The sequence below is a fragment of the Homo sapiens genome, chromosome 13 (genome assembly GCF_000001405.40).
Source record: "Homo sapiens chromosome 13, GRCh38.p14 Primary Assembly".
Taxonomy (NCBI): domain Eukaryota; kingdom Metazoa; phylum Chordata; class Mammalia; order Primates; family Hominidae; genus Homo; species Homo sapiens.
Genome location: NC_000013.11, coordinates 80121252 through 80144396, shown reverse-complemented (window position 1 = coordinate 80144396; position 23145 = coordinate 80121252). Strand labels below are relative to the sequence as shown.

The 23145-nt window shown below is 37.3% G+C and overlaps 1 long non-coding RNA gene across 1 annotated transcript in view, besides 1 other annotated feature; it reads left to right on the top strand.

Annotated features, from left to right (window-relative positions):
• Nucleotides 1-22606, top strand: part of LOC105370275 (uncharacterized) — a 44604-nt gene extending 21998 nt beyond the window's left edge. Inside the window, exon 3 of the long non-coding RNA XR_942116.3 lies at nt 22521-22606. This is a non-coding gene — a long non-coding RNA (uncharacterized LOC105370275). The remainder of the gene's footprint in view (nt 1-22520) is intronic.
• Nucleotides 10852-11351: an enhancer, noted in NCBI's record as "H3K27ac hESC enhancer chr13:80707181-80707680 (GRCh37/hg19 assembly coordinates)". NCBI's record gives its function as "activates a minimal SCP1, AML or CMV promoter by ChIP-STARR-seq in primed H9 embryonic stem cells {active_cell/tissue: H9 hESC(primed)}" and the evidence as "EXISTENCE:reporter gene assay evidence [ECO:0000049][PMID:30033119]".
• Nucleotides 22607-23145: the final 539 nt, after the last annotated feature.

The window sequence follows — 23145 nt, the reverse complement described above, 5'->3', positions numbered from 1 at the left end:
GTAGGCATTCTTAGAGACTTACTTCCTTTACCCAGCATTTATATTTTGTTTGCTTTCAAAATTTCTGAAAACCTTTCTGTTTTTGGTGTATCTCTTGAGCTTTGTTTTATGCTCCAACATGAAAGCCTTTTAAACAATTTTTAATGTTAGTTTAATGCAATAAAAATGGGCTTAGATTAAGTTTGGCATAATTTTATGCCATATTTTCTATTTTATTTGCTTTTTAAAATCTCTAAACTTGAGCTTTTTCTTTTCTCTGTTTTCTAGGAGGAATATAATTTTTTCTTAAATTTTATATAATTATTTTGTAGTAGTTACCTTTGTAATTATTACTCTATATTATACCCTTAGGCCTTAATTTACATGGACAGTATTTATTACTTTCCTACTATGGATAATGATGAAAATAATATACTTTGCTATCTTCCTTCTCTTCCTTTATTTTCTCCATCATGCTATTTTAGTAAAGTACATAAATTTTCTTAGTGTTTTCATTTGTTCATTAAATACAATTACAATGTTATTACTTGGTTTGTTAAATCTAAATAATATTCTTTGATTTCTGATCAATATAGATGAGAAATCAGCATTCTTTACTTTCTGCTGTTTTTCTCTTTTTTCTTCCACATATATATAGACATATATATACATAAATATATATATATACATAAATATATATATATATACACATAAATATATATATATATACATATATATATATATATATATATATATATACACACACACACACACACACACACATTAGACAAAGTCTCACTCTGTCACCCAGGCTGAAGTGCACTGGTGGTGCAAGCTCGGCTCACTGCAACCTCCACGTCCCAGATTCAAGTGATTCTTGAAACAGGGTTTCACCATGTTGGCCAGACTGGTCTCAAATTCCTGACCTCAGGTGATCTGCCTGCCTTGGCCTCCCAAAGTGCTGAGTTTACAAACATGAGCCACCGTGCTCGGCCACCTTCCATATTTTTATTAGTCAAACTATATACACCCACACCCACACACACATACACCCACAGTTTACCTTTGTTCCGTCACCCTAATGTCTACATTTGCTTTGGTCTTCATTGCATGGGGACATAAAGTTCTCACTACTACCACCAGTCTTTTTCCAAAGTTTCCTTTTGGTTCTCTAGTCTTGATTCTACATATTGCCTGAGTTATTAGATGAGAAATATAGTTTGTTACTTTTATATTCAAATAGCAAGTTAGCTGGGCATAAAATCTTTGGGTTGTACTTTTTATTTGCAAAATATTTTGCTGGGGCCGCTCTTACAGTACTGAATGATATCGTAGAAAAGTATATTTAGCCTTATATTTCCCCCTCATAAGTATCCCAATCCTCCGGCCAGCTATCCATGAAAGGCTTTATCTTCAACATTTGTTACTAATGAGGATATATCTCACTGTTGACAACAGTGAGTAATTTTTCCCTGATATATTATGCATGTCTTCAAATAATAGGTTCAAATGATTTGAAATCATATTTCAGGAACTTATTCTTTAATTACACTTTGAAATGTTTCTTCTGTTGCATTATTTTAGTTTTATGCTTTGAGTAAAGAACTCTAAAGTCTGTGTTGTATTTCTTTTGACTGTTTTCTATAGTTGTCATTTTATTTACAATTCTTTTGGAAATTTTCTCTTATTTCAATTTTATTTTGTCACTTTCATCATTTACACACTTTGTGTACCTACTTTATTTTACAGTGTCCATTCTCCCTTATTATCTGTCTAGTGTTACCTTTTATTTGAGACAGTCTTGCTCTGTCACCTAGGCTGAAATAGCAGTGGCACAATTTTGTCTCACCACAACCTCCGCCTCCCGGGTTCAAGTGATTCTTGTGCCTCAGCCTTCTGAGTAGCTGGGACTACAGGCACGTGCCACCATTCCCGGCTAATTTTTCTATTTTTAGTAGAGATGGGGGTTTCACCACGTTGGCCAGGCTGGTCTCGAACTCCTGACCTCAGGTGATCCACTGACCTGGGCCTCCCAGAGTGATGAGATTACAGGCATAGGCCACCATACCTGGCCTTAGTGTTGCCTTTATTTTTGAGATGTTTTTCCCCACCATTTTTCTGAGCAATGCTAGCTTTTCATTTCTTCAATTATTTGCATTAATTGTTGTATTTCTGCTTGGCATCTTGTCATAGACCATTTAATACCTCACCACTAAAATATTTTTAAAAATAAAGACCAATGTTTTTTCACAATAAAGATAAATGTTTAGTCACAATTTACATATTTTAAAATTAACATTTATATAGAACTTACTCTGTACTTGGCATTATTCTAAGCATTTTACAAACATGAGTTCATTTAGTCATCCTAACAACCCCATGCAGTAGATATTCCCTTGAACTCTATTTTACAAACTGAGGAAACTGAGGCACAGAGGTGTTAATTAACTTTCTCTAGAGATTTGTAACTGGGTAGTCTGCTTCCAGACTCTATTGTATTAATAATTATGCTATGCGGCCTCCAGGGTATTAGCTGTTCAATTTTTATTATTTCCTCTTTTTTTTTTTTTTCCTGCTAGTATCTCTTTATAGATCCCATTCTTGTTTTTCCTTTTGAACTCATCATTGAAAAAGGCGTGTTTTTCTGGACCAACTACTACGGGAGTTTCAGATGTAAAGGAGGAACCAGAGCTGTGTTACAGGTTAGCAGGATTTCTGCACATTGGTTTATGTAGCTACTACTTCTCTCCAGCCAGCTGGGTGTAGGTAGATGCAAGACAGTGCAGAGACTATCCTGAACCATGTGCTTCCTTGTATATATGCTGGTGTGTGTGTGATTCCTTATTTAGATTTCCTTCTTCTTTGTCTAAAAATCAACTCAGGTCCAGGGTTGCTTCTGGGGCCAACACAAGTGCCCCAATCCTGCATTGCAAAGGAAGATCTAGATCTAACAACAGACTGGGCCCCTCGCTTCGCAGAGCTGAATTTTGCTCGCTCTCTCCTATCTCAGAAGCTGGCCCTCTGCCTGCTGCTATGGAATTCACTCTGTGGCATGTTCTCTGGGCTTCCTCCCACATGAGTCTTGCTCTCCTCTGCTTAGTCTCCACTGCTTTTGGCAGCCCTTACACCTATTTTGGGCTCTGGGGGGGTTTAGCTGTCTTCTACTTCTGCTGAAAATGAAGTTTGCATTTTTGTTTCCCTTTCTCCTTGTTGCTTTTGGATGTTCTCCAGCAGGAGAAGGGGGATGTGCTTAACTGCATGGTCTACGTTCAGACCACAAGTGCCCCCTTCGCATTTTTATTCTTCCATTTTTTTCCACAGTCAAAGACTCTTAAATTAAAGTTACTAGACCTCTGACAAGAATGGCTAATAAAATGATTATAAAGATTTTCATGAATGAACTGTTATGACTGAGAGAATGGGAGTGAGTATTAACACTGCGGGCCTCATTTGATTAGGCTCACGCAGACAGACTCTATTGAAATCACTTTTTACCCTATTCTCGTTGATGAATGTTACTAGTATGCTGTTTACTTCCTCTACCGAATTGCAAATGAATGCAATTAAAATTCTAAAGCAAAAATCCAAATCCTCCTTGCCCTGATTTAGTACACACCTAAAGTGTCCAGTTTCATACACAGTATCTGTTCAATACATGCAATGAAATAAAATAAAAATGCTCTTCAGTTTAAAGGTTATTTTGTGGTTATGCTTGAATTATTTGAGAAAAAGTATGGCTCTCCTTTGACATTTCCATAAAATATGCAACAAAATTGAAAGTAGTAAGACAAAATATGGTCTTAATCATCAGCTAAACATTTATTTTTAAGGTCATTCATTTCATTGTCAAAATACTCTAGAAAACAGACCTTTTAAACTGTATTTTCACCATACAATGCTGAAATTGAAAATCGGTGTTGTTTTCTATTCCAAATGTTAAAATTATTGTAAAATAAATACCATTCAGGCAATGACAGTTTCAGGAACTCTCTGGAAGTTCTCAAATTGCAAAGTGAAATGTATGCACATATTGTTTCCCTGATTGTTGGACTTGAAGCCTCCCTTCTATGTTCCAGGTAAAAATATTATCCATGTTTTTGTATGATCATTCCTTAATGTTTTATATGCATTTCTTCCCATGTTTAATCCCATTTGATTTATATATGCAGGCTCTAATATTCCATTTCCCTTTTCATTAAATAGTGACTTAAGAAACTAAAAGAATTTGTAGCAGGAAAGAGCTAATCTTGGTGGTGCTAAATGAAATTGATATTTAAGTTGAAACATGGCCTTCCTTGCCTCTCAACCCCCATAATTCCTCTTATGTCTTAATTGTGATTTGTCAGACCTATAATTTGGCTATAATTTGCTTCTCTGAGAAAGTTTAAGAAATGAATCATTTTTTAAAATCCTTATTAGTGAGAATTTTTTTTCCTCTCAATTTTCTCACCTTCTAATTTTCAATACAAATGATGAATCATGAAGTCAGTGGGATTTTCCTAGGCACATTTGCCAACCTTTTTAAATTTCTGGCTTTTAAAGGAGTTTAATTTGGGATTTTTATTACAGGAAGAAATCACTTAGTTCCTGAACAAAATGTGTTGGTGAAATAGATTAAGAACTTCTATAGGACATAAATTCAAAAAAGTTTATATTGCTATATTGTATCTTTTTATTTGAATAATATTCCATTATCTTGTTTTATGTTGATGTTTACTATAGTATGTCCATTTTAAGGTATGTCTAAATTTAAAATTAATAATAAAGTAAAAAAATGCCTTTTACAATTGGCTGCAAAATAACATGTCATATAATTGTCTGATAATGGCAGAACATGTAAGTGCTTTTGTTTTAATTTGAAACTTTGCGTTTGTTGAATGTTGATAGACCCTCAGTGTTAAATGAATTATTGAATGAACAAATGATATTAGAATCTAGGAAAAAGTAAAGTAACCAACTAATCCAGTTTGTCTAGGATTGCCCTGCTTCTTAAACTAACAAACATTTCCTTGTCCTGGAAACCTGGGTGATTGGTCATCTAGAAAATGTGAGTTTACCTTGTATACCTTTTGCTATGTTTAAGAACTGTGGTCAGGAAACTATGAACCTTGGCCAAATCTAGCCTGTTTTCGTAAATAAAGTTCTGCTAAAATGCAGTAACACTTATTCACTTATATATTGCTTATGGCTGTTTTCACACTACAACCACAGAGTTGGGTAGTTGAACAGACTGCATAGCCTATAAGGCCAAAATATTTACTACTATGCTCTTTACAAAAAAAGGTTCTGTATTTTCACATTCCGAATTTTAAATTATACATTTTACACAATTAAAAGAGATCCTTTTAGAAAATTACTTTCGGAAATTTGTGACTAAACTTGATCAAAATTATTATTTATGATTTGGGGTAAAATAAAATGTGTTGACATTCTGTGATCTTCCATTAAATACCAGCTACTGTGCTGACTTTTAGGAATAAATATAAAAATAAATAAGACATTATCTGTGGCCTTGGGAAACTCATTCTAAAGTCAGAGAAATGCAGAGGTGATGTTAGTAAATATATGCAAATTTCTTTAGATGAAATATTTTGGATCAGATGAGATAATGTTTTAAGACAGTGATCATTTTTAAAATTTTAACTAACTTTTTTTTTTTTTTTTGAGACAGAGTCTCACTGTCGTTCAGGCTGGAGTACAATGGCACGATCTTGGCTCACTGCAACCTCCGCTTCCCAGGTTCAAGCAATTCTCCCACCTCGGCCTCCTGAGTAGGTGGGATTACATGCACCCATCATCATGCCTGGCTAATTTTTATATTTTTTGAGATAGGATTTCACCATGTTGGCCAGGCTGGTCTTGAACTCCTGACCTCAGGTGATCCGCCTGCCTTTGCCTCCCAAAGTGCTGGGATTACAGGCGTGAGCCACCGCGCCCTGCCTAAAATTTTAACTTTTGTTTTCTTTTCCACTCGAGTCTATCCTCTATTCATCACCTCAGGGTAAGGATAAAACAGAAAAGAGAGAAAAACAAGAATCTCGGCTCCTTATAAATTTCTTGATTAAAGCTTGAGACTTATACCTGGCACATAGATAAATAGTTCAGTGACAATTCTGTTAACAAATGTTCTCTCCAACACTTTCATGTGCTTTTAAATTCGTGCTAGTATGGTGAGAATGGAACAAGCAGGACCATGTAGGGGAAAGTTTGGATTCAAACCAAACTTGAAAAAGATGACATCTGGGAATCAGAGTTGCTAAGATTACGTGTACACTTAGAGGACTAAGTACACTAGAGGACTTTCTTAGTGAAAACATAGTCTGAGGAGAGAGAGAGAGAGAGAGAATAAGTTGATCTATATTGGAGAAATAGCAAATGAAAAGATTGTTAAGCAAAAGTAATAGGATTTATTAAGATCTTACTGTATGCTGTCATTTAAACTCTGGAGCCAGCTATGCCTGAATTCTACCTTTGGCAATATGAACCATCAAGTCACATTTCTACTTAATTCAAGTTTCAGTTGAGGTTTCCATCACTTGCAGTTGGTAAAAATCCCAAATAATATATATATAGTGCTCCCCCAAATTTCCCTTGAAATAGCAGAGGAAAATAAAAATGAATCTGTAGCACTCTGAAGATGTAGTTCAGGAATGTCCAAAGCATGTATAAAACTTCTTTCAAATCTCCCATTTCATCTTAATCAGAATCTTGTGTCATTCTTTGTAATATCTGTTTTTTTTAATTAAAAGATATGTATTTCAGAAAGAAGGAAAAAATAGAGACTTACACCTCATTACATAAAATTTCACAAAACATTTGCAATTGGTGGTGTCATTCCCATTTTATAGATGAAGAACTCAAAGCTCAACGAGATTAAGTAACTTATTCAGGGTCACAGAGCTATAGATTGAAAAGCCAGTATTCAAATCTAGGTCAAGTTTATTGCCAAATTTTAACAATTAACCTGAGTCTCCATAATCATGGACCAGAAAGAACACATATGTGGGGAGCACCAGAATTGAGACAGGCCAGGTTTATCCTAAAGAAATGAATATGAGGTTAAATATAAGAGTAACTACAACAACTAAACAACCTCTATGAGTATCTAATATATATCAGACACTGTGAGCAAAAGAAATCAAGGGATGGCTAGAAGCCCTTGGAAGGAACTACCAAGTGAACAAGTAACATGAGCGTGTGCAGAAAATTAACTTCAGCTGTACATAGTTTACACCACCAAGGGCTCCTGACGTTCCATGAGCATTGTTGTGCTACTGAACTGACTTGGTATGGTGAGCTACAGAAGCAATGTGATCAAATGGATGACGCGAGAGAGCTGCAGAAAGTACAGTCTGAATTAAATGGCACCATCTTGGGAGACTAACTTACTGTGCTCCCTTCTCTCCTGTTCCCTTCCAACACAGGTGGTAACAGTGGAAATGTAATGCCAGAAAACCTGATTAGCAGAACTTTCTGTTCCATTTTATAGTGATTTCAACCTTGATTAGTTTTCTATCCTGAAACTTGGGACTCACTGGCTGAGTGAGTGATTAAGTAATAGTGATTATCAAATATGTTTTTAATACAGAAACATTTTTTAAATTACCTTGAAAATAAATTTATTACATAAGGTTGCGGCAGAATTTTTAAAAGACTCATCCAAGATAATATATTAATATATAATGCATATAAACACATATGAATACTTTGTTGTACACTTTAAAAAAAAACAGTAAAATACCGTTGTGTCTGAACGGTAAAAAAAAGATATGAAAAGTTAGTTATTACTCAGTTAATCCAGAATTGATAAAACAAGAAAACTCAAATTCTAGAGTGTTTTGTTTTTTAATTTTATGAAAGGGAAGGAATAAGCAGAATTAATGTTTTGCTCATTCAAGTGACAACAAAATTTGTATAATGCTCTACAGGTTATAAAACTCTTATCCGAGTTAGCTCATTTAATTCTTATAATAGAAGGATGTGACTTTCCATAAAGGTTGTAGTTTCAACTAAGCCTAGGTCTCTGAATCAAATTCCATTCCTTTTTCATCCCATCGTCACTTCACTTCACTTCACTTTTACACCATGTAAGGTCTTCATGGACTGAATTCCTAAACAAACAAACAACCCCAAGACGCTACAAAGAACATGGGAGTACAGATCTCTTCAAGATCCTCATTTCAGTTTTTTAGAATAAATACCCAGAAGTGGGATTCCTGGATCACATAGTAGTTCTATTTTTAATTTTTTGAAGAACCTCCATACTATTCTTCATGGTAGGTGCATCATTTTACAATCACACCAACAGTGCCTGTGAGTTTCAATTTCTCTGCATCCTCATCAACACTTGCTACTTTCTTTTTTTTTTTGAGACAAAGTCTTCCTCTTGCCCCCAGGCTGGAGTGCAATGGCACGATCTCGGCTCACTGCAACCTCCGCCTCCCGAGTTCCAGCAATTCTCCTGCCTCAGCCTCCTGAGTAGCTGGGATTACAGGCATCTGCCACCAGGCCCAACTAATTTTTTTGTATTTTTAGTAGAGACAGGGTTTCACCATGTTGGCCAGGCTGGTCTCAAACTCCTGAGCTCAAACGATCCACCCGCCTCGGCCTCCCAAAATGCTGGGAATACAGGCGTGAGCCATGGCGCCCGACCATTAATGGCAATCTTAATAGGTGTGGGGTGATAGCTCCTTGTGGTTTCTGATTTGCATTTCCCTGATAATGACTGACAATGAGCATCTTTACATATACTTGTTGGCCATTTGTATGTCTTCTTTAAAGGCATGTCTATTCAAGTCCTTTGCCCACTTTTTTGTTTTTCTGAGATGGAGTCTCACTCTGTCACCTAGGCTGGACTACAGTGGTGCGATCTTGGCTCACTGCAACCACCGCCCCCTGGGTTCAAGTGATTCTCCTGCCTCAGCCTCCTTAGTAGATGGGATTACAGGTGCCTGTCACCATGCCCAGCTAATTTTTGTATTTTTAGTAGAGATGGGGGTTTCACCATGTTGGCCAGGCTGGTCTCGAACTCCTATCCTCTGGTGATCCACCTGCCTCGGCCTCCCAAAATGCTGGGATTACAGGCATGAGCCACCACACCTGGCCTTGCCCACTTTTTAATTTAGCTATGTGTTTGACTGCTACTAGTTGTAGGAGTTCCTTATATAATTTAAATATAACTCCTTATCAAATATATGATACTTGCAATCCTATGTTCATTGCAACTACTCACAATATCCAAGAATTGGAAATAATCTAAATGTCCATCAGTGAATGAATGGATAAAGAAAACAGGCTATATACATAAAATGAAATACTATTCAGTCATAAAAACAGGGAAATCTTGTCATATGCTACAACATGGATGAAACTTGAGGACATTACTTGATGTGAAATTAGCCAGTCACAGGACAAATACTGCATGATTCCACTTACATGAAGTATCTAAAGTAGTCAAAGTCATTAAAGAAAAAGGTATCATGACGGTTGCCAGAAAATGGGGGAAGAGTAAATAAGGAGTTGCTGTTCAATGGGTATAAAGTTTCAGTCATGCAGGATAAAAATGTTCTAGAGCTTTACTGTACAACATTGTGCTTAGAGTTAACAATAATGTACTGCACACTTAAAAATTTGTTAAGGGTATAGATCCCATTTTATGTATTTTTTTCTATAATTTTAAAAAATGAAAAACAAAAATGAAGAATGAGAGAACTAAAAAGCAAAATCTATTCAAATGATTAGTTGACTATTTCTGAATCTAAATCTACTGCAGATGACAATTCAGGCCATTACTCAGGGCCAGTCTTTGTTCCACTGATAAGCAGTTGGGGCAGTGAGGCAGGAAAGCCACCTGCTGAGAACAGGGTCTAAAAGAGACCAGAGGTGGGATACATGCAATTAACCCTTAACCTCTTCCCGGCTCACCATGATGGAGCAGCTGATTTGCCTGGCTCTCCTCCTCTCTATATTTTCATCTCTATATGCCCTTAAAATGTAGCTGCCCCAAATTCACCTCCTTTTTTGGGGAAAGTAGGTATGTATGGATCTTCATATTCTGATCGTCTTGAAATGAGTTAGGAGAAGCAGTATTTTTCTTTTCTGGTTAACAGTCAAGGAGATCTCTGGTTTATGAGAGTAAACTTGGTTACATTTTCAGCTATAAATGACTGGCTCTCTTAGGAAATACAAATGGACAGTACTTGGAGGCTGGAGGAGTATGGAAAATCTGACGAGGAAGGTGTGGACCTGGCCAGTGGAAAGCATTTTGGTGGGTCTAATGATTTTGGGAAAATCTCTGCAAGGCTGGAACATTTTGCCACACGTAAGTGGTTATTTCCTTAGCCTCTTCTACATTCACTGAGAGCTCTGTGTAGCTGATTGGAGAGTGAGAGAACTGAAAAACAGTCCCAGTATGAGTCTGTCAAGAGAGATGCTTCAGTGTAAGTAAGTTTTTCAGATGTGTTGCATGTAACAGAGCCTGGTTTCAAACAAAATCTGCCTCATTCTGGTCCATTTAATTCTTGGAAACATAATTTTATATATCCAGAAAGTCCTTTGAGCCCTTCGAGGGAGCACTGTAAAGGCTTTCACCACCACCTTACCGCCGTTCTGTCAAAGCAGGAAATCAAGTCCTGCCAAATGCAAATGAGCTCAGACTCCAAAAGGCCAAGTGTCAAGATGCAGAATGCTGCCGGATTTAGAGATCATGCCCCACATAGATATTTGAGGGTCTAACAAACTATAGAAAGTCATCCTGAACATATTGAAAATGTGTGATTTCAGAAATCCTAGCACGTGCAAAACCATTTTTATATTAGTAAGTCAGAATACCTTTCCTTCCTTTTCATGGTGGCTTCAGAACCTCCAGGGAATTTATCAGAGCCTCCTGTTACTATGGTTGTCTGCTTTCTGTTTTGGAAGAGAAAGGCTTCTTTTTGATTCACATGTCATAGCTGTTCTAAAATAATGCTGACTCAGTGTCTGAAAGATAGCATTGGCTTTGCTGAAAGAAAATAGAAACCGGTCCTCTAAAACCTACTGCTGTCCCTCAAAGAGTTAACGGAGTCAGTTCCAAAGGAGTTAGGCAACGGCTGAAACAGGATAATAAATGTGACACTCTCAGATTATCAGTAGCAAATATTTGATCTTATCAAATAACAGAGGAAGTAGTTTAGTTACAAATAAACCAATCTCTCATAAAACAAGTTTTCACACAGGTTCATTTCATTGAGCTGGAGACAGTTAGAGGCCACTTGTAGGCAGAACTCCCACTCTGTACACTCTGTAACAGCCCCTCGTGATTAATGGACAGCCAGGGGGAGGCTGCATCCTGCGGCTCCAGGCTTCATATCAGCAGAACAGCCATAAACAGCATCTCAGGATTATTGCGAGGAAGTGACTCCTCCTCTGGGAACATAGCTGGGCTTGTGCTCCTTCTCCCTCACCACCCGCCTTCTTTCTGTCCCGCTCGCTCTTTTTCCCTGTAGAGCAGAGACCATCGTGTCCTAGAAACTATAGTAGATGTCACTGCTTGGCACTTGCTGTGCAAAGAGAGGACAAGTATGTGGGTGTGAGGGGGAGGTGGAATGCTACTCTTAAAGTAACAGGGACTGTGCTAGCCAGGGCCTCGATGGAGGCTTTTTTGTTCCAGTCTTTGAAACCACTTTGGTGAAGGCATCCAACTTGGAGTCCAGAAAAAAGTACAAACACTGTTTTAGAGTAGGAAAAAAAAAGTTAGAGCTCCTTCTTTCAAAGTAAAATTCTCATTGAGATTAAGAAGAAGTAAAAAAAAAAAAAATCCTGGTAAGATTAGAGTAAATTAGCAAGTAAAAAGAAAAGGAGAGAAAGCTGGCAAATTTTTGGTGTGTGAATATCATCTCTAATGAAATAGAAATATGAATACTTCTATGTTATAATTTCATGGAAAGTTTGTTTTACTCCCCCTAAGGATTGTAAAAATAAAGCATGCAGATTATATGAAATATGGAAATAGAAACATAAAGCTGAAAAAATTCAACCATGACACCACCATTTGAAGGCAACCATTAAGAACACTTTAGTGGATTTTCTTCCAGGCTTCTTCCAACATCTTTTAAAAAGAGATTGTTGAGACCTTAACCATATGTAGAATTTTCTTTCTTACTATTTTCAGCCAACATTTTAGCATAGTCATGACCCCATCATGTTATTCAGTCTTTTCTTATGTATAATCTTCAGGTTGTAAAATATTTATTTTGCAATTTTAACAAACATAGGGCAGTTTTTAGAATAGGTATGTATTCACGCTAAAAAGCAATGCTTGACTGCTTTATTTTTCAGATGTACTCATTTATTAAAAATTATTTGCTTCGAATAAAAAATTTGTTAAATTGTAATAAAAAATTAAAGGGAAAATTCTATGCTATTATTCTCATGGTTAACTCATTAACTTTTATGTTTAAATATTCTGGGAATTGTATTTTCTGCAGAATTAGAAAAGATTCAGTCCCAATCCCCTAGCCTTATAATGTACTTAACCCCACTAATGCTCTTTCAAATGCATAAATCCAGAAGTCAAGATGAATTTTAAAGACATGACATTCACATTTACCCATTGTTCCCCCTCGACCTACAGTACCTGAATTGAGATACATTTTGCTTATATGAGATATTGGGAACTACTTTTGGTGACCATTATCTTTTCTGATCCAGGAACTGGACACATTTTCTCCCAATCAGCCTCAAAGCCATTATACATTCTCCACAGTAATTTCACTGTGTCTCTCCAACAATGCTTCCCTCTTATTTAAAACCCAAAATAAAAGTTCTGCTGGAAGTGTTTGCATAGAAATATAGTTTCTATGCAAAAACAACAGGCAACCCTCTTATTTTTCTTATCCTGAATTCATTTAAAATATGAAACTTGCCTTTTGGAATAAGATGGGTCCTTTTCCTGTTTCCAGAACAATGCCCACGAAGGGTTAAAACACTGTGGTCACTCAGTCCCTGGGGGCGGGGCTGGTGGAGACTGCACTGCCTGCTCCCAGGGCGTGGGATTCAGCTTGTTTCCAAATAGATTTCCTCTAAATTGACTTTCATTTTGATCCCTATGAGACTTACGTTAAAGGGCAAAAAATAGTTTCCTCTTAGAATAAAATCTAGACTTAACTAGATTTTTTTTTCTTGCCCCCAAATAGATGTAATTTAGAATATTTTGGTAGTTTTGAAACCTACTTCTTTTTGCAGAATCCAAACCGAACGTTAATAGGCTTCCAAACATTTTGTTACTTGTACTCAGAACTTCTTGAGAAAGCAAATCCCAAATACTGAAGCATATTGTACTTGCAAAGCACTAAATTTTAGCCCCGTGTCTCTCTTAAGAGATTTTCTTTAGGTTAACGGTAGCTCTAAATTAAAAGAAAGTTTGCAAGATAAAGAAACCTACAATTTGCACTATCAATTTAAAGAAATATTATTTCTTTACCTTTTTCTTCAAAACATTTGTAGTAAGTAAAAAAACTTACTTATGTTGAGTAACATTATATGACGATGGAAGTAAATGAACATTTATTAAGCACGATAGTACCTGCCAGGTTTTATATACACTTAAATATTTAATTTAAACCTTACAACAATAATGGCTTGGGATAGGTATTATTATCCTAGTTTTATCAACCAATTAACTGGGTGTGGTGGCTCACATATATAATCCCAGCACTTTGGAAGGCCAAAGAGGGAGGATTGCTTGAGCCCAGAAGTTCAAGACCAGCCTGGGCAACATAGCGAGGCTCTATCTTTGTGCATGCATGTGCATGCTTGTGTGTGTGCATGCGTTTGCACGCACACACACACATAATTAGCTGGGCATGGTGGCACAAGCCTGTAGTCCCAGCTACTTGGGAGGCTGAGGTAGGGGGATTGCTTGAGCCAGAGAGGTCAAGGGTATAGTGAGTCGTGATTGCACCACTGCACTCCAGCCTGGGTGATAAAGCAAGACCCTGTCTCAAAAAATGAAATAAACAATCAACCTAGTATAATTAATAAAGTCTGGAAGACAAATTATCTCAAATTTGAAAGGGAATTTATTCACTTAACAAAGGTGTTTCTTGTAACATATGACATTGAAATACAAAACTAAAAAGTGAATTCCAATCATAGTGATAAATTCTAAAAAAGGCAAACCCATTTAAAGACGCAATATTGTTTTCCTCCCCTGAAAATTCAAAATTGATATTTTTTATCGTTTCTAAGAACCATGCAAATGTTCGATGGCAGAGTCAGTCTCGAAAGTCAAGGACTAAGTGTGGATATAGTTTCAATACCATAATCTGAGGTTCCCAGCAATCCTCTTATTTTTCTTATTCTGATGAACTAAGATGTTTAATATTTTTCTCGCTCACTCTCCAGTTTCCCTGATTATTGTTATAGCTCCTTGTTGGATAATTTGCCTCAATCCGATTTCTGCATGGTCAAACCACATTTCCATTATTGGAACAGAGGACACGAAAAGCCTTGAAAGGGAGGTAGTTGAAGTAAACATGGGGGCAAGGAAGAACGCCATGTGAATCATCACTGTAGCTACTGTTTACTGAGGGCCAGCTCTGTGGCCAAGTTGGTGCCAGGTGCCTTGCTTGTAATTCTCACAGCAATTCTTATGTCTAGTTGAGGAGTTTGAGGTTCAGGTATTTAAAAACTTGCTAAAGATAAAAGCTAGGAAGTGCTAGAATTGTTATTTAAACTGAAATCTGTCTGACTTCAAAACATTGACGTTTGTAGTTGTAGTGATTTTCTAATATTCTCATTTATCACAGTTCAGAGGCAGATATTGGCAAATAAAAAACAAAAAGGACCCAAATGCATCACATCTAAAAGGTTATCAAGAAACTAGTTTATTAGAGGAGTTTGATGTTCGTTTTTCTCTAGGTCTTGAGAAAGAACTGAAAGAATCATATTTCTTTCTTGGATTTATGAGATCTCAGTCTGCGACTAGACCAGCACTTTCTCAGATCCCTTCAGTTCTGTAATTCTTTTTTTTTTTTTTTTTTGAGACGGAGTCTCACCTGTCGCCCAGGCTGGAGTGCAATGGAGCTATCTCGGCTCACTGCAACTTCTGCCTCCTAGGCTCAAGCGATTCTCCTCCCTCAGTCTCCCGAGCAGCTGAGATTACAGGTGTGTGCCACCACACCCGGCTAATTTTTTTTTTTTTAATCTTTAGTACGTATGGGGCTTCACCATGTTGGCCAGGTTGGGCTTGAACTCCTGACCTCGTGATCCACCTGCCTCAGCTTCCTAAAGTGCTGGGATTACAAGCATGAGCCACCGCTCCCAGCCTTAGCTCTGTAATTCCATGTTCTGTGTTGACTACCTCTTCTAGCTGAATATTCCATAAAGTATAACTAGAACAATTACTTGAAGGAATAAAAGTGCGTGATGATAATTAACATACAGTCTTCTACACAACCCCATTTTCCCCTAAGATTTCCAATGACAGTTGTCTTAAAATTAGGGCATATAATAGAATAAGAATCAGCTGGCTATTAGAGAACTGCATACTCTCATTGGTTTGGTTCTATTGGTTCCCTCAACTTTCAATAGATCCTGAGATGGCCTGATTGCCCTAACATGGTGCCCTAAATGACTAGCCACACTCACTGGGGCTGTCAGGAGTCAGTAATGTTTCCGTATTGCTTTATTTCAGATTTGTATGTGTTATCCCTGTGCTTGATATAAATCATGTTTCAAATAAAACAGCTGTTATTAAATATCTTGGCCTTTTTCCTGAATTGATAATGAACAAGTATGCTTCCCTACAGTTATTGAGTTAGATCAACTCAACATCAGTATATATACATGTTTTTATTACAGGATAATATTTTTTATAAATATAAAACCAATCCATTAAAATTTTTCCTTTTATGTAAAATTTCCTTTGCATCATTTCAAGGCTGAGCCATAACCTAAAACTTCAGTGCAGGATTACACAGGGCTCTGATCCTACAGCAAAGCAACGGGCTTTAAAAGGTGGGCTTTGTGAAGAGTGGTGCTAGTATTTGTTAAGCTCCTTGATCATTCCCTACTTCATCTAATTCCTTCCTGCAGTACTCACACACACTAGTCTTAATATTTGAACAACAGTGACGGGAAGACCCCCCTCATGGAATCATCCAAATTTAGAGAGAAAATATCCACATTTATCATTAAGATTTAGCCTAGAAGCCTGCCTTTGGAAGGAAGAAAATAAAGCAAAGGGGAAAAGCCATCCTTTTCATTCCAGGGGATTTGGGGAAGAGGAGAAGAAACACTAGCGCTTGAAAATATATTTGCTTTCCCTAATGTTTTGGTTTCAGATAGCATCCCATCTTCCCTGCTGAAAAGGTACTGTTTGAGATAGCAGTTAATAGGCAAGAGCTGAGGTGGTCCCAATCCCTACTTCATGTGGTATAAAAATAACAATGTGAAGAAAGGATAAACACTCATGGAAAGCTAGCAGTGTGGACACCTAGCATTCATAGTGTTGCTTTTACATGCTTAGAGTTCAGATTCTGTGCGGGAGTCCTTCACACAGCCTTTAGCAGGTACTGATGGACTTTGGGGAGATTCTGGGGTTCACCCTCCACACCTCAGTCACTCAGAGGAAACGGATAAGGTTAGAGTATCAAGGCAAATTACTGAAACTGCTTTATTTACCTAGCTAATTACCAGAATGAGTCCCAGTCTGAGCCCTCAGCTGAATTTCTAAATCTATGGTCATTGCAATGGTGCCCACAGGCTAGATAGATTCAGTGGTTCTCCACCCTGGCTTTACGTTAAAACTGCCTGGTGAGCTCCAAAGACACTCAAGCTCAAGCCCAAACTAAGACCAATTAAACCAGCATCTCCAAGGGTTAGAGCCCTGGAGCCACTGCTTTTCAAAATCTCCCCAGGTGATCATAATGTACAGCTGAGGCTGAGAATGACTTTATTAGCTGCAGATTACTATTATTATCCAACAGTGGCAAGCAATTTTCACTCACCTTATGCCTGAGTCAGAGATTCTTAATTTTATTTATCACCCAGGGAGAAAATATTTTAAGCACAGAAGAATCTTTCATATACAGAAGGATACATTGTATATTTATTTCATGTTTAAAGGAGTTATATTATGACAAGAGCACAAATTGAGGCATTCTATTAAATCACAAAATAAACATTGTTCTTAGTTCACACACATGCTCTGCTCTTTGTAAGGTGGGAATTAAGCAGGGATCCTCAACCTTGGCACTACTGACATGCTAGTCTTTTTGAGGGAGGCTGCCCTGCACATTGTAAGATGTTTAGTATTTGTCTCGACTTCCTCTCATTTGCTGCCATTAGCATCCCCCTCCCAGTTGTGACAACCACATCCAGACAATAGAACAACATCATAGTGATCCAGACATTTGCTTAAACCAGGAAGAGGGGAGGAAAAGGCAAAAGTAGGCAAACACTAATCCTGGAGCTTAATCCATTACAGTCAAAACTGCTGTCAAGATAAGTAAAATTTCCAGTCTAGCCATCCTTGACAGCTACTTCCTCCTGAGAATCTTTTCTCTTTCATTGTGACTGTCACTGGTTTTAAGGAATGCAACTGTCTGTAACCCCAGAAAGTAGGTGTCAAATTGAGGGCTGTTTAGAACTCCAGGTATGGTCTGGAAAGAAGACATTAAGATGTGAATTAACAAGAGCTTTGTGTTTTTGTAATTTCTCTTTTTCTCTCTCTTTTTTTCCTCACTCTCTTTTTAGATGTCAAGCATGTACATAATTAAAACCAATCAGGCTCTAGTTAATTCTGTGACACTACAAAACATATTTTATCATTAGTGATTATTCCAGGTAAGAAATTATGCTGACAAAGCTCAATTTATGAGAAATGCATCAGAATCATTAAAAGAATCTTGTGATACAAATTTCTGTAAATATATTGTATAGGAAGACAATCTCTTTTTAATATAGGTGAGTTATATCTTTGGATATTAAAATTCGAAATTGAGGCCAGGTGCAGTGGCTTATGCCTGTAATCCCAGCACTTTGGGAGGCTGAAGCAGGTGAACCATGAGGTCAGGAGTTTGAGACCAGCCTGACCAACATGGTGAAACCCCATCTCTACTAAAAATACGAAAATTAGCCAGGCATGGTGGCGGACACCTGTAATCCCACTACTTGGGAGGCTGAGGCAGGAGAATCGTTTGAACCCAGGAGGCAGAGGTTGCAGTGAGCCGAGATAGTACCACTGCACTCCAGCCTGGGTGACAGAGAGAGACTCGGCCATAAATAAATAAATAAATAAATAAAATAAAATAAAATTCCAAATTGAAAATATAATGGACCAGTCTTCAAAAAAATATTTTCTAGAATAGCAACAGTGTACTATCAGTACTATCATTGAAAACTGGAAACATAGATAGGTTAGGAAACACTTTAAGAGGCCAACTAGTCCAAATCCAATTCAGGGAAGATTGAAATACATCTGCAGTTGGATGATCCATGATTCTTATTGTTAGTTTCAAAATTACTCTTTGGTTTTAGGGGTTTATAGGATGCCCCCCACCAAATAAAAATCTTACATAAGCCTTGTGCCTATGTGAAAAGAAGTAACCATTAGTGTATAATTTGATTTTGAATATCCCAAAGCTTTAGGGATTAAACTGGCAAACAAACAACAAACAAACAAAACCTCCCCTTTTCCAGTAGACTGGAAATTTGTATCACAAGATTCTTTTAATGATTCTGATGCATTTCTCATAAATTGAGCTTTGCCAGCTTAATTTCTTACCTGGAATAATCACTAATGATAAAATATGTTTTGTAGTATCACAGAATTAACTAGAGCCTGGTTGGTTTTAATTACGTACATTCTTGACATCTAAAAAGAGATTTCTCCAGGTTTTTTGTAAGATTCCCAATAGGGAAGCCCAACAGAGAACTGTCCTACTGTGACAAAAAATTTTTAAATTTACTTCCTGGGTTTTGAACCTAGCTTTCTTCTTTGGTCTTTGATTTATATCAGGACACACATGCATTTTCACTCTATGCTCATCTCCTTCCAGTTCCGTAAGGAAAATGGATATCTATCCAGGCCCTTGACTTTGAACAATGAGACTCACAAGTTGGTTCACTTGGCATTTACATGGTGTTAGGCAAATAATAGCCTATGTTTGTGTGTGTGTTTGTGTGTGGCGGGGGGCGTTTGAGTGGAGGTCGGGTAGGGGATTGTTCGGTCTCATAGTGACTCTGAGTTTAGGCTAGTGTGTCCTTGTAAATATGTTTTGTTACTTTTTAAATTTAATTATGTTAACATTTATACATATTTGAAAGTTAATGTTTTTCATGGTTAAACATTTCTTAGTTTACAGATTCGTTACTTGTTGCTATTGAAAAGCATTGTGTGTTTCTTTGTAACATTAGCCTAGAGCCTCCCCACAAAGCCATAAAATTACTGAGTACAATAAAATAATATCTAAACAAAGAAATCCATTTTAATATAATTTTATCATTTCTCTAAAATTATTCATATTTAATCTTAGGCTACTTGGATCTGATTTTTGTGCCATTTATTATTTTCTTTTTGAATGGAAAACTTCAAATGTAAAATGAGTAAAAAAGTAACTTGAGTTTTCCACCTACAAAGTTTGCCAAACTCTCAGTTAAAAGCATCGAGTCTCATATGGGAGGAAAGAATTCTAAATGCCAAGCATTCAAAGCTAATTGACTAATAAGAGATACCTTGGTAAGACCCTCGACATTCCAGGACTATGTCTGGAAATCAGTTACCAAATTTCCAAATACTGAAATGTTTGGGCACAAATCTTCCTGGATTGCTACTGAATCACATTTTCATTCACAGTAACGTGTTTTCTATGTCTATCCTTACATCACAAAAGTAGCTTCCTTTCCAACATTTTCCAACTTTTGTCTCTGAGTTGGTGGTCATTACACAAAGAAAAAATGTATTAGAGTCCTGAGAACTGAGAGATCAAAGAGTTGATTTGAGGTAGAAATAGGGGTCGTGCCCCTTCCTTATGCTGGGTGCTAGCACTGCCACATGACATCATTCAGTTGGGCCTTAGCAAAGTCTTAGTCACTGCAGAGGGTGAACTATCAGTATTGCTTGCGAGTAGTGAAATTCACTACTGTTAACTCTGTGGATGTAGAGGGACTTAAAAAAAATTGGATGAGTTTTCCCTCTCCTTCCTCCTCTTTTTTTCTTCCTCTCTTCTTACCCTTCTGGGTAAAAGCAGCTGGATAGCGGTTGAGAACTTGGACTTTGGAGCCAGGCTGTCTGGCTCTTGTTCTACCACTTACCAGCTAGCCGCTTAGTCTTGGGCAAGGTATTTAACTTCTCTGTAACTGAGTTTGTCCATCTGTGAAACCTATCCCTTATAGTGTTGCTGTTAGAATTAAATGAATTAATATATATATAACTTTTCTAGCACTGCCTAATACCTAGTATTCACTAAAAAAACAAAAACAAAAACAAAAAACAAGGAAACGAAAAGGAGCTCCTATTGTATATCAAGTGCTTAGCTAGGCACTAAAAGGGAATCTCTGACATGTGGGATATGCTATGTACATGACCAACACAGCCCCCACTTTATGTCACTCAAGTGCAGCCCCGATAGAGATTGACTGGTACTTCTGATTCCCAGCCTTATTTTTCCCAGGAGAGAAGGTATGATTGGCCCCAACTTGTGCTAGATATTAACTGCAAACTGAGCCTCTGTGGCCATTAGACCAAAGTTTTTTTTTTGGTCTTTTTTTGTTTTTGAGACAGAGTCTTGCTCTGTTGCCCAGGCTGGAGTGCAGTGGTGTGATCTCAGCTCACTCCAACATCTGCCTCCTGGATTCAAGCGATTCTCCTGCCTCAGCCTCCCAAGTAGCTGGGACTACAGGTGTGCACCATCACACCGAGCTAATTTTTGTATTTTTAGTAGAGACGGGGTTTCTATGTTGGCCAGGCTGGTCTTGAACTTGTGACCTCAGGTGATCCACCTGCCTCGGCCTCCCAAAGTGCAGGGATTACAGGCGTGAGCCACTGCTCCTGGCCTAAACCGAGGTTCTTTAGTGTAGCAGTCCCCAACCTTTTTGGTCTCAGGGACCAGTTTCGTGGAAGACAATTTTTTTTAAAATTTTATTTATCCGAAAATAAAAGCCTGCATGTGTCTATCATGTTGGGAAAGATGTCCATTCTTCAGGTCATTAACTTCCCTTGAATAGAATAAAATCTCAGTTAAGCAACAAATAAGACAAATCTCATTAATTTAGGTAGACAGTTGTGCTAAAAGAGACCAAATGAGTAAATTTTAAATTCCTATAAAAGCTCTTTCTTCTTTGGAAATTTTTTGTTTCCTTCAAACCATAATTGATAGTGTCTCCTTGGAAACAATCCTAAGAGATGAGTTGGATTCCTGGGAACCATGCAGTTTAAACTTAAATTATAGTAATATGTTGCCTGTTCCTATTAATGTCAGCCAGTCTTGCTAGTAAAGAACACTTGAGGCCGGGCTCAGTGACTTATGCCTGTAATCCCAACGCTTTGGGAGGCCAAGGTGGGAAGATTTTGACAATATAGAGACCCTGTATCTACAAAAATAAATAAATAAAAAATAAAATATTAGCTGGGGGTGGTGGCACGTGACTATAGTCCCAGCTACTCAGGAGGCTGAGTTGGGAGGATTGCTTAAGCCCAGGAGTTTGAAGCTGCAGTGAGCCATGATCGCACCACTGCACTCCAGTTTGGGCAACAGAGTGACACACTGATGAAAAACAAAAAACAAAAAACAAAAACAAACAAAAAAAACCAAATACCTTTCTACTTTTCTACCATGTGGTAGCTGAATCTGATGGAAAGACATTCTAAGAAATGTGAGCTGAGATGTAAGTTTCTTAGTGTAAGGTAATATGTTGACATTTTTATTTTATGTATTGGTTTCTTGAGCTAGGTTAATGTAGCTCCACACCCAAAAGAGACAGTCAGCTTACTAAGCTTGCAAAGGTTTTGTGGGAAATTCTTTAAGCTCGCTTCACGAGCTCATGTCTCCCTCATGATACCCCAACAATACTGTTGGCAAATGCTTAAAACAGGGTCAATAGTAATGCAGTTCCACTACCCTCTTTTATTCACAATACGCAAGCTACTGTCCCAAGGGTCTTGAAAATGAGAAAGTGAAATAGACTTGGCTCCCAAAGGATTCACAATTCAGTTAGGGAAATTTAAATTGACTTCACTACTCACCACAATGTAGCATGTTATATTGTAGATACAGCAGCCATTTGGGAACACAGGAGGAAATAAACTTTTGGAAGACAGAGGTGTGCAGGTACAGCAAACTGACCACTGGGTGTCCAAGGCTCTGTCTCATCACAGTGGTCGCACCAGCAGGGGAACAGCGGAGGTGATTTTCCACCAAAGCCTGTTAGTGACTTTGGGATGCACAAATGGGAGGAAGGGGGCAAAATATTCAGCTACCATCTCCCTGGAAGTCTGTATTAATCCTGCTGATAATAAAAGGTTTACTTAATTTTACTTATTATTTTTTACTACCTAGACACCAATATGTTTGGAAATAAAGAGACTTGGCTTCCTGGTCCTGCTCTAAGATGGGAGCTTAAACCTATGGAATGTGACACCACTTTGGGCAAAAACAGAATTCTTAGCAAAGAAATCATTGATGTTAAGGTAAATTTATTAAATGTGAGTGAGTTCATCTACTTCTCAGATAATTAAGACATTACTTATGGTGAACAAGCTTATTTATTAGCATGTGTTTCCTTTATGATATTGCATTATGAATATATTATAATTGAACATGCATGGCTGAACTGTTTTTGGCACAATTGCTAGAAATTAGTGTTTAAATGCTCATATATTTTTTTTTTGGTTTGTTTGTTTTTTAATTGACAAAGCATATGTTTTCTGTGGAGCATATTTTATTTTCTGTTGGGATTTAGATATCAAATCTTCATTGCACTAAGACTAATTTTATTTTTTGGCAAGTGCCTACAACTTACAGATTTACTCATCACTATGATTTGAATTAGAAACTCAGAAAATAGAGGTGATACCTTTACAGAGTCATGGTAATAGAATAACAGCTGCCTAAACTTGGCCTGAATACTGGATGATCATTAATTATTACTTAAAATATAAATACTTGGTGGTAAGACTGTAGT